This window comes from Homo sapiens, chromosome 15 (genome assembly GCF_000001405.40).
Source record: "Homo sapiens chromosome 15, GRCh38.p14 Primary Assembly".
In the NCBI taxonomy this organism is placed as follows: Eukaryota; Metazoa; Chordata; class Mammalia; order Primates; family Hominidae; genus Homo; species Homo sapiens.
Window position 1 is genome coordinate 89,072,923 of NC_000015.10, and position 12,472 is coordinate 89,085,394.

At 43.3% G+C, this 12,472-nt stretch overlaps 1 protein-coding gene and 1 long non-coding RNA gene across 6 annotated transcripts in view; both read left to right on the forward strand.

Moving 5' to 3' along the window:
- Positions 1 to 11,307, forward strand: part of CARMAL (coronary artery disease region linked MFGE8 regulatory lncRNA) — a 43,232-nt gene extending 31,925 nt beyond the window's left edge. For 2 of the 4 annotated variants that reach the window (NR_183883.1, NR_183880.1), the window contains one exon: positions 2,374 to 6,794. This is a non-coding gene — a long non-coding RNA (coronary artery disease region linked MFGE8 regulatory lncRNA). Of the gene's footprint in view, positions 1 to 2,373; positions 6,795 to 9,568 lie in introns of those variants that run through there. The other 2 variants (NR_183882.1, NR_183881.1) reach the window with 2 other exon arrangements.
- The window catches only part of ABHD2 (abhydrolase domain containing 2, acylglycerol lipase), a 161,358-nt gene that overhangs the window by 31,925 nt on the left and 116,961 nt on the right, over positions 1 to 12,472 (forward strand). Inside the window, exon 3 of one of the 2 annotated variants that reach the window (NM_001416423.1) lies at positions 2,374 to 2,462. The exons of the other annotated variant lie outside the window; for it this stretch is intronic. The gene's annotated coding sequence lies outside the window, so the exon portion shown is untranslated. The remainder of the gene's footprint in view (positions 1 to 2,373; positions 2,463 to 12,472) is intronic. 2 annotated transcript variants of the gene reach the window in all.

The window sequence follows — 12,472 nt, forward strand, 5'->3', positions numbered from 1 at the left end:
TATTAATAAAATTTAATTTTTAACTAGTAAGTTTGCTAAACCTGTTTTCACTACTTAAAATAATTTTATAAGTATAGCCCACACAATATTTGAGACATACTTATACTAAAAAAGTATTTGCTCTTTATCTGAAATTCAAATTTAACTAGGCATTCTGTATTTTCATTTGCTAAATCTAGCAAGCCTAGTTGTGAGGAAAGCACTTTTTGAGGGGCCTGGGACAAAGAATATACTCAGAAAATTCCCACTTCTACAGAGAGCAGCATTGTGGAGCAATGCTAAACTTAATCTATCATCAGATTTATGGGGAGCTTTAAAAAAGGGACCTAGGTGTGAGCTCAGACCTGATTAGCTAGAAACTTGTGTGGAATATCTGGGGAATCTGTAGTTTTTGAGACAGTCTTGCTCTGTTGCCCAGGCTGGAGTGCAGTGGTACGATCTTGGCTCACTGCAACTTCCGCCTCCTAGGTTCAAGCGATTCTCCTGCCTCAGCCTCCCAAGTAGCTAGGATTACAGGTGCCCACGACCATGCCTGGTAATTTTTTTGTATTTTTAGTAGAGACAGAATGTCACAATGTTGGCCAGGCTGGTCTCGAACTCCTGACCTCAGGTGATCCACCCTCCTCGGCCTCCCAAAGTGCTGGGATTACAGGGAATCTGTAGTTTTCTTTTAAAAAGTGTGTTAATTCTGATCATTGGCCAGGTTTGGAAACTAGTGGCCTCACGCACTACTTCTCAAACTCTAACCATGCGAAGCATCTCGGGATCTTGCCAAACACAAATTCTGATTCAGCAGGTCTTGGGGGACCTGAGGTTCTGCATTTCTAATATCATGATATCGATCCTACACATCTGTGGATCACACTGAGTAGCAAGATTTCAGAGCGGTGGGTCTCAAACTTGAACCACCTGGAGGGCTTATTAAACCGCATTGCTGGCCCCACCCCAGCGTTTTTTACTTAGTAGATTAGAACTACTCTTTTTGTTAGAAAAGCTCCCAGGTGTTTCCGATGCTGCTGCTGTGGGACCCACACTCAGAATCACAGTGCTAGGAGAAAGAGAAAGGGCTTTGGGATTGGCGGACCTGAATTAAATTCCATCCCAGCAAGCGGGTCACCTCTGACAGATTTCTTACATTGGTTCTCCACTCTGTACATAAGAGTCACCTGGGCCGGGCATGGTGGCTCACGCCTGTAATCCCAGCACTTTGGGAGGCCGAGGTAGGTGGATCACCTAAGGTCAAGAGTTCAAGACCAGCCTGACCAACATGGGGAAACCCAGTCTCTACTAAAAATACACAAAAATTATCAGGGCGTGATGGCGTGCTCCTGTAATCCCAGCTACTCCGGAGGCTGAGGCAGAAGAATGGCTTGAACCCGGGCGGTGGAGGTTGCAGTGAGCAGAGATCATGACACTGCATCCAGCCTGGGGGGCAAGAGCGAAACTCCATCTGAAAAAAAAAAAAAGAGTCACCTGAAGATCTTAAACAATTCTGATGCCAGTGTTCTTTCCCAGATCAAATTAAATCAGGAAAGCTGGGAGTGAGACCCAGATGCACTGTTTTAACAAATTCCTCAGGGGATTCTAATGTGTCACCAGGTGGAAAACCACTGAAACACTGAGCCATTCTCCTTATCTGAAAATGAAGACTGAGGATTAAGTGTAATGGAAATGAAAGAGTCTGGCATAAGGCAGGCACCCGAAGTGGCTGCTATGACTCCTCCACTTTCTAGCCTTCCCTTCCATCTTAGAGGAAGAGCTGCCCCCAGGCCTGTATGAGGTTCACCTGTCTCCAACCCCTCCCCAACAAAGAAAAGAACCTAGCTTGCTTTGTCATTTTCTTCTGGAACATTGCCTCTCACCAGCGTCTCAAGTCTACTTCCACTAGCTCTTCCCTATCTGTCTTTTAAAATATGCTGAACTCCGCCATCACTCAATCTTGCTGTCATCCTGTTTCCTGCCTCATATCACTGATAACATTTCTCAAGCAAGTGGCCTACAGCGGTACCAATTCCTGGCTTCTCCTTAACCCTCAGGAGAAAAAGCCTCATTCCCTTCACCCCCAACCCTAAACTTTAGTACAGAGACACCCAAAGTTTATCAAAAGTGTTTGAATGGCCAAACCCAGAGGCCTTTTCTCGGTAATTCTTCTCTTTCAATTCAATTGAACAAGCGTGTTTTAGTGCCTACTATCACTTGGGTACAAAGAGGAATAAGTCACCCTCCTTGGCCTCAAGGGGTAGGGCTTGGGAGCAGCTATCATGTAAGTAAGGCAATACCTGAGATAGGAACTGTGAGGTAAAGTGTGAATGATGTGGGTTCTGGCCCCCAGCACTCAGCCTTATCATAGGTCTTTGCATCTACATCTATTAGGAATGGATGATTGAATGGATGAATGAACTCCACAGGAAGATGAGGAAAGCCTTTATGGATGGAGTGAGCTTGCAGCAGAGTCTCAAAGGGTGAGTAGAGTTTTCCAGGTAGGGAAGTGTGTGGGTGAGTAGTCCAGATCGAGTCAAAGGTATGGGAGCAAGGAACGGCCTGGTGCATTCCAGAAGTGTTGATAATGTCACTGGCTGACTCGGAGGGTGTGAAGGGGAGGAGAAGGAGGGAAGGCTAGAGAGGGAAGGTAGAAAGGAAGTGGAGGCGAAAAAAGATGCTGAAGGGCCTCCTGTACCTCCAGGAAGAGTTTGAATGTTATCATTTGGGCAATGGGAAGCTATTCCTGGGTCTTCACAAGGGAATCAGTTGGTGAGAACTGCTGTTTAGAAAGACAGCCCTGGCAGCAACTCAAGCGCTGGGAGAGGACAGAACCACCAGGGAAGAGGGTATGGGGAAGAAGAGCAGCAGGCTGAGGACAGGCCCAGGACTGAAGAATCAGGCACAGGAAGAAGAGTCCATGGGGCAGGCTGTGAAATGGACAAAGGAAAACCAGAGGTGCTTCCCAAGCAGGGGGCCTGGCCACCAGAGTCCCAAGCTACCAAGATGTCAAGTAAAGAAGAACTGAAAGCCAACTGCTGGATGCAGCAGTGAGTGGGGGTCACAGTGGCCTTTGCCAGAACTGTTCCAGTGGAGGAGTAGAGGAAGAGAGAAAACCACAGGAGCAGGCATCGCAAGCTCATGCTCCACCCACACGTCCCCTTTCTCCTTTAGTCCTGTGACCCATGTGCTTGCTCTCTTTCTCTCTCAAAGGAGATCCAAATTTAAAAATATGGAGCCAAGGGAATCAGTTCCTTTGCGAACACACTGAACGTTAGTTTTCTTCTTCTCTTTTGCAAAAACTTCTTATTTCACAAAATACTCAAACAAATAGACAAAGTACAGTGAAGTCCAGGTAGATATCATCCACCTTCAGCAATGATCAATCCATGGCCAATCTTTCATCTCAACACTCGTATCCTCATTCTTGTGGAGCAAATGCCAGACATTCTTTCATCCATCAGTATGTCAATATGTATCTCTGAAATAGAAGGACTTTTTATAAAACATAATCATAATATAATTAATATTCATTCCCCAATTGTTTTGTTATTGTCTTTTACAGTTTAATTTTTGTTTTGTTTTGTTTCGTTTCTTTTTGAGACAGGATCTTGCTCTGTTACCCAGGCTGGAGTGCAGTGGTGCGATCATGACCCATTGCAGCCTCTACCTCCTGGGCTCAGGTGATCTTCCCACCTCAGCCTCCCAAGTAGCTGGGACTACAGGTGCATGCCACCATGTCCAGCTACTTTTTTGTATTTTTGTAGAGATGAGGTCTCACCATGTTGCCCAGGCCAGTCTCAAACTCCTGGGCTCAAGTGATCCACTTGCCCCAGCCTTCCAAAGTGCTAGGATTACAGGCATGATCCATAATACCCAGCTACGGTTTGTTTTCATTTGGATGCTAATAAGACCCATACATTCCATTTGGTTGATCTATCTCTTCAATTTCTTTTAAATTTATAATTTTATAAGGTCCCCTTCCACATTTTTCTTTGTGGAAGAGGAGAAAAGACCCTTGTTCTCTGGATCACTCTGTGGTTAAGGGGGTAGGTCCTCAAATCAGATGCCCTGGTTCTATTTTGCTTTCTTGTTTTTTAGTACTTTTTGTTTGTTACCTACACACAGAAAAGTACATGAATCATAAGTGAGCAGCTTGATGAATTTTCATAAGTGAACACACCTGTGTAACCACCACCCAGCTCAGGAACAGGGCATCACTGGCACCCAAGAACCCCCTCTCAGGCCCTTTCCCAGTCTCTACCACCTCACAAAGGTCAGGTGACTTTTTCACACCACAGCCATGTGTTACCTCTTTTTGAACTTTATATAAATAAAATCATAGCATACATTTCTTGGATGACTGGCTTCTTTCACTCACCTTTATGCTGGTGGCATGCTTATCGTAATGATTTGTTCATTCCCAATGCTGCATAGTATTCCATTGAATATGAATGTTCTACAATCTGTTTATCCATTCTAGTGTTGATGGACATTTGGACAGTTTACAATCTTAAGCTATTACGAATGGTGCTATTGTGAATGTTATTGTCCGTGTGTTTCTTTGGGTACATACTTAAGAATGAGAATTATGCATGCTCATGTTGCCAAGGTTTTAATTTTGGGTTTACTTAATATCACTTTTGTGACCTCAAGCACATTATTTTACCTCTCTGGCCTCAGTTTCTTAATCTGTAAAACAGGCATAATCATATTCACCCTGTGGAGTTATTGGGAGGATTAAATATTTAAAAAAATCTAAAACTCTTAGAATCGTGCTTGTCTCTTAGTAAGGGTTTTATAAATGTTAGCTGTCAACCCTTCCTCCCTTTGTGGTGGTAACTTCTCAAGCTCCTTCACTGTTTTTCTCCTCCTGCCAAGTTTCATTCTCCCAAGTTCAAGTTAACCTGGTCTGCTTTTCTTTCTCTCTGAAACTTGTCTATGCCTATGACTTCCATTATCTTGTACTGTGGACAGCTTTTGCAACGTGTTACCTAGAAACTATGACTCCAAATCCCCTTGTCTACAAAACTCAGCCTCTCCCCTGCTTACCAATGCTCCCTTTCTAGTAATGATGTCATATTTTCCCTTTCCCTTGAATATATGTGTCACCAAAATCTCAACAGATCTAAAGTAAATTTACCTTTCTCTCCCATATTAGAACCACCTTGGGATCATCTCTGACCCTTCTCTCTTTCTTGCACCCCATATTTAATCTGTGGGGAAGTCCTGAAGAATCTATGCTCACATCACTGTTATTCTTTTCTTTTTACTTCCACTGTCTAGTTCAGGCCCTTAACAACTTACATTGAAACTAATGCAATAACCTGTTATCTCTTCTACCTGGCTCCAACCTCTCCTATTTCTAATTTTCTCTGAACATTGCCTCCAGATTAATTGGACTAAAATATGGCTTCATAATAAATCATCATGATAGGGCATATAACTGTGAAAAGAAAATAAAGCCTTGGGACCCCAAACTCACTATGTCAAAGGGAAAAATTAAGCTTGGAAACTGAGTCACACAAAAACTGCCTTCCTTTTGCTCCTAAACAGATCGTTGCATTTGGATATTTGGACTGTTTACAACCTTAAGCTATTACAAATGGCGCTATTATGAACGTTATTGTCCATGTTTTTCTCTGGGTACTTAGTTAGGAATGAGTATGTGATAACGGAAGGCCATCTATCTCCCCAGGTGGCCTTCCTCACAATTGCTTACAAGGAAATTTTTTGTGGGTCCCAAATCTTTCAGAATACATATCCTCCTGATGAACTACCCCTAAAACACAGTTCTGTTGAATCTCACCCTGACAATGTAGGCTTTTTTTTTTTCTTTTTTTTTTTCTTGTGAGACAGAGTCTTGTCATCCAGGCTGGAGTGCAGTGGCACGATCTTGGCTCACTACAACCTCTGCCTCCCAGATTCAAGCAATTCTCCTGTCTCAGCCTCCTGAATAACTGGGACTCCAGGTGCCTGCCACCAAGCCTGGCTAATTTTTTGTACTTTTAATAGACATGGGCATTTCACCATGTTGCCCAGGCTCATCTCGAACTCCTGACCTCAAGTGATCCACCTGCCTCAGCCTCCCAAAGTGCTGGGATTACAGGCATGAGTCACTGTGCCTGGCCAACTATGTAGATTAACATCTTATCTTCACAGGTATGAGACAAAGACCAGACTAGAAATAATTCCTCTGCCCACCCAAGACAAATGCATATTAGATTTCTTCCTCTACTCTGTGTTTACATATTTTATGTAAAATGTAGATTTACCAAGCAAGAAAACTAACATAATTGACTGTTCCTCTACCCGCCCCTTTCACATGTAAAATGTAGATTCAGCGAGTGCTAATCAAAGCCGCATAGGAAAGTAATCTCCTGTCTCATTGCTTACCCTTCCTTCTTTTTTTCCTTTCCTCTCTAAAGTCCTGAAAAACCCTTTTTGGAAAAAGCACAGGCCACAGATCCTATGGTAACTTGTGTTTCTTTCTCCCAGAAGAACTATGGTTACTTGTGTTTCTTTCTCCCAGAAGAAGAAATAAAACAAACTTCTACATGGCAAAATAAACCTCTACATGGCAAAATAAACCTCTACATGGCAAAATAAACCTCTACATGGATAGAGATCTGTCTCAGACACATTTTGGTTTCCATGACTTCTGAATGGCAGCATGAGGAGCTCCATGAACCCTCTCCCCAGTGAAATGACCATAATCTCTGGAAATTGCTTAAGATCAAAGCCACAACTATTTAAAGCCTTTGGAAATTGTTTTATGGGGATGCGGCAAATTAATAAACTTTTATTCAAGAAAATGTACTAAGTCTCAGTAAGAACAGTGAGAGTCAATAACATTTGTACCACAAAAGACTTCCTCCCTCCTTCTTCTAGCTCAGCATGATGGAAAAGTTACTCTAAGTAGGTGAAGCCGAGAACACGGGCTACCTCTTTCCCCAGCTCTCAGTTGAGGGCTACTATATCTCGCTGGGAGGGCGGCTGCCAGCATTTCTCATACCCTCCAGCTTCATGCTGCAAAAGCTCTACTTTGGACAAGACTGGCTGATAAATCTGGGGCTCACTTCGTAAACCTAGCCCCCAATCATAGGGCAGAAACTCCACCTCGGCCATGGCAGGCTGAGAATACTGGAGCCTGTGTTACCCTGGCCTCAGCTTGCTCATGGGGCAGAGATTCTTTACAGGAAAGGCAAGAGCAGAAGAGCAAAAGCTACTGCTCTGCCCAGCACTCTGCTCATAAAGCCGGATTGTCATCCTGAGATAAGGGGGCCACTGTCTCTGCCTGAGTTCCCCAAGCTCCGGAGCAGTGGTGCAGAGGTTTTGCCCAAGGGGAGAGGAAGGCGGTAGATACAGAGACCTCTGAAGTTCTTCCCAAGAAAACACTTTATGTAGAACACAATGTGGGAAAGTTCAAGTGTAAGGGTGTTCTCAAAAACAATGAAGATTTTGTTGGTAAGCAATTAAGAGGAGCCTGGGAACTCCATTCAAGCAACAAGCTGAACTGTAGACCAGCTAGAAGTGTTCTGGAGAGAACCAGGGAAAGCATCAGCTAAGAAGAGCCCCCTTGGTGTTAGAATAAGTCTCAAAGACTGACCTGAAAGATTACCCTTGCAAAGGGGCCCAAATTTAATGTACAAGACAGGAGCAATTCATGCCTCCAGGGCATTATCAAACACGAAAGAACAATCAGCCAGCAGTTGGTGGAGGCTAACGGCTGTATGTGATACCATAGCAGGCTGACAGCTTAACAAAGAGATAAGGTAAAGAGAAAAGGAGACTTTTTTTTTTTTTTTTTTAAGATGGAGTCTCACTCTGTCGCCCAGGCTGGAGTGCAGTGGCCCAATCTCAACTCATTGCAGCCTCTCACTCCCAGGTTCAAGTGATTCTCCTGCCTCAGCCTCCCAAATAGTTGAGATTACAGGCGTGAGCCACCACACCTGGCCCAAATTTTACTCTTCTAGGCACCTCATGTAAGTGGAATCATACAGTATTTGTCCTCTTGTGATTGGCTAATTTCACTTTACATAATGTCTTCAAGTATCATCCATATTGCAGCATGTGTCAGAATTGTCAGAATTTCATTCCTTTTTTTTTTTTTCTTGAGACAGGGTCTCACTCTGTCTCCCTGGCTGGAGTACAGTGGCACAATCACAGTTCACTGCAACCTCAACCTCCTGGGCTCAAATGATCCTCCTACCTCAGCCTCCCAAGTAGATGGGACTACAGGAGCACGCCACCATGCCCAGCTAATTTTTTTTTTTTTTTTTTTTTTTTTTACTTTTTTGTAGAGACAGGATCTCACTGTATTGCCCAGGCTGGTCTTGAACTCTTGGGCTCAAGCAATCCTCTTGCCTCTGCCTCCCAAAATGCTGGGATTACAAGCATGAGCCACTGCACCGGCCAATTTCATCCCTGTGAAAGCTGAATAGTATTCCATTACTTGTACTTACCAATTTTATTTATCCCTTCATCCATCAATGGACATTTGGGTTGTTTCCCCCTTTTGGCCATTATGAATAATGCTGCTATGAACCCTGGCATACAAATCAAATGTAACTTAAATGCCACGTCTGCATTGTGGGTGATACAAGAGATGATTATAGAATAGCACATGGAAGAACATTTAAAAACATAAATTTAAAATGTCATATTTAAAAATGTAATAGTTGGCCGGGTGCAGTGGCTCAAGCCTATAGTCCCAGCACTCTGGGAGGCCGAGGCAGGGGAATCACTTGAGGTCAGGAATTCAAGACCAGCCTGGCCACTAAAAACACACACACAAAAATTAGACAGACGTGGTGGCGCACGCGTGTAATCCCAGCTACTCGGGAGGCTGAGGTGGGAGGATCCCTTGAACCCAGGAGATGGAGGTTGCAGTGAGCCAAGGTCGTGCCACTGTACTCCAGCCTGGGCAACAGAGCAAGACTCTGTCTCAAAAAATTAATAAATAAAAATAATAAAATGTAATCCTTATGAAATGATTTTAATGTAATTAGAATAACTATAATCACACTTTAAGCCTGCAATATCACATATATTATTGCTTCGGCCCACAAGGTTTCTCAACCTCAGCACTATTGACATTTGGGATAATTCTTTGTTGTGGGGCTGTCCTGGGCACTGGAGGGTGGTTAGCAGCATCTCTAGCCCCTACCCACTAGAGGTCAACAGCACCCCTGCAGTTGTGACAACCACAGACATTGTCAAGTGTCCCCTGAGGGATGAAACTGCCCCCAGTTGAGAACCACTGGTTTAGGATGGGGCTGAATAAGGTATTTAATTTTAAAAGTTGAGTCAATTTAATAACATTATTAAGTAAATAATAAAGCAGAGAGTACAGAGATAGGGTCAAAATTATCAATGTGGTTTGCAGATGCCTGGAGTTTGGGATGTTTGCTCTGCAACTATGCGAGGATATCCAAATACCCAAGGGGCTGAGACGAAGCCATTAACTAAGATGAAGGCATTATCTGGCCTCCACCACCAGCCCCATCCATTTTTTTCATCTTCTCGCCTACTGGGTCCCTATTTGACTCTGCTATGGACAAACTATCTTGTGTTCATCCACTCACAGGCCTACCTGGAATGCCATGCTCCCTCACCGCCAATGCTGCCCTACCAAATTCAGCCCATAGACCTTCAAAAACCAATTCAAATCTCCAAGAATCCAAGTCAGAAGAAATTGCTGCCTCCTCTGAATAATTATTGCTGACACTGATTGCACTCTGTGCTTATTGCTCAGTCCTTTGAGTTATCTCGTCAATATTTCCCATTTGTCCTATATCCATCCCCACCTAGGAATGAATGGGACTTCATGATTCTGTCTTTCTAGTATTAGATGTCTTGCTCAGTAAAAAATGTTTACTGTCTTGTAAATTAATTTAAATATATGGTAAAATAATATAGGGGTCTCTGGAAAGATGGAAATTGTTTGTTATTGTTTTTGAGACGGAGTCTCACTCTGTTGCCCAGGCTGCAGTGCAATGGTGTAATCTCAGTGCAATCTTGGCTCACTGCAACCTCCGCCTACCAGGTTCAAGCGATTCTCCTGCCTCAACCTCCCAGGTAGCTGGAATTACAGGCGCCTGCCACCACGCTGGGCTAATTTTTGTATTTTAAGTAGAGACGGAGTTTCACCATGTTGGCCAGGCTGGTCTCGAGCTCCTGACCTCAAGTGATCCACCCGCCTGGGCCTCCCAAACTGCTGGGATTACAGGTGTGAGCCACTGTGCCCGGCCTGTTTTTGTTTTTTTGTGGGTTTTTTGTAGTTGTTGTTATTTTTTTACACTGCATCTCGCCTTCTCCGGAAATAGTTTTAAAATAGCTCAATAACATAAAATTATGTAGGAAAGGGTGTATGATGAGCTTATTTAATGCACAAGTTTTATCGACTGTTTTGCAATTAATAGTATGAAAAACTCAATTTTTATTTCTGTAATTAAGAATGACATCAGGAAGAGGAATGCATGGTGACTAAGAAGAAGTCATCATTAGCCAGTCACCTGTCAGATATTCTGTATGTATCTGATTATAAGATTAGAACACTTTTTCATCTGTGTGTGTGCGCGCGTGCACGTGCGTGTATGTGTGTTTGTGTGTTTCATGAGCATTTTTAGTACTGGGTCCTATATATGTAAGTATAAATATTACCATAAAATTTATCAACCAAATTGGGACTATTTGAGAGTCACCTGGTGGGAGGGAGGGCACTATTAAAATTTTGCCAGGACAACATACATAAGCCAGGAGTGTTCATCTTATGATTTTACTATAGACAACTCACATATAGCTTAAGAAAGCAGCTCAAATCACAGACAAGATTATTTTTCATGATCGTTTTCACTGGCCACCAGAAAGCCTTTTCTAATAACAAAAGGACCACATTTTTGAATTTCATCATAGTTTGTCCTCATGGAACTATTGCATGCTGGGACTTAAAGCCTCTAAACAAACTTCATCTCCATTACCAATAAGAAGCCAGACAGTCGACCTGGTAACAGGACATTCTGAACCTCCTTCCTAGACTGCATGCAGACTGCACCGGCTGTGACAATAAAGCCACAATATTGGATCCCTCAGACTGCACCATGTCATGACTGCAGGAATACTTTATGAACCTCCAGGCTGCAGCTTTTACTATTATTCTCTTAGCCTCATCCTTTCCATTTCCCTCACAGTGATTACACTGATGAGGTCTAGTCTCAAAAACCTTAACTCGGTCCTCAAACCGTTTTTGGTAACCATATTCGAAAGGAAAAGTTTCTCGCACCAGGTGGTGAGATTTTGCTAGTGTAAAAAAAAAAAAAAAAAAAATCCTGCATGTGTTGGAGAGTGTGTATATAGGAACTGTCTGTACTTTCCACTTAATTTTGTTATAAACCTAAAACTATTTATTTATTTAGAGACAGAGTCTCCCTCTGTTGCCCAGGCTGGAGTGCAGTGGTACGATCTTGGTTCACTGCATCCGCCGCCTCCTAGGTTCAAGCGATTCTCCTGCCTCAGCCTCCCAAGTAGCTGGGATTACAGGCACACGTCACCACACCCAGCTAATTTTTGTATTTTTAGTAGAGACGGTGTTTCGCCAATTGACCAGACTGGTCTCAAACTCCTGGCTTCAAGTGATCCGCCCACCTCAGCCTCCCAAAGTGTTGGGATTACAGGCATGAGCCACGGCGCCTGGCCCTAAAACTGCTTTAAAAAATAAAGTCTATCTATATTTTCTAAAAATCCTGAATCCTGTGATCACTACTTCTGAGGGCTAGAACTTAGAAAATGAGTGAGGACCTTAGAGGAAGGTTCTGAAATGGGCTCCTATAATAGCTGTGGCAAACATTTATTAAACATTTTTAGGTATTTGCCAGGTACTGTTTGATGCACTTTGCATCTGTGAACTCATCTGCCACTCAAAGGACCCCATGAGACAAGCACTTCACTGTCCTCTGCGTTTTACAGAAGAAAGTAGGGCACAGAGATGTGCTGTACTCGCCCAAGGTCACAAGGCTAGGAAGGATGGAATCAGGATCCAATCCCCAGCAGTAGAGCTTCCAAATCCCCTTTCTCTGAACCATCCCCCGAGGACACAGAATAACAAAAATGACAAACTGAGTGAATTGCTGATTTTCCTTAAAAGAATAAATAGAACATATTATCTGCTCCAACCACTGCTCCCTGCTGTCTCCCAGAGTACCTTGACTTTCTCAGGTTAGTAAATCCTGCAGAGGCCCCAGTTGAGTTAGAAGCAGTTCTGCTTTAATGAAGTCCTGCAGCTTTGGCCATCCCAGAAGGTGACTGGGGCATACCCTCTCCCTTGTTCTTTTTTATTACAAGGTACTGTCACGGTTTTGAAAATTCACTTTACAGCCACATCCCAACACCTGCTTATCTCAGGCCAAGGCTCACCAAATCCTCAATCCCAACGGGCCACTAAACTTGAAGGCAAAAATAAGTCCATTTTGTCTCCTAAATGGCCTCCCTCAGA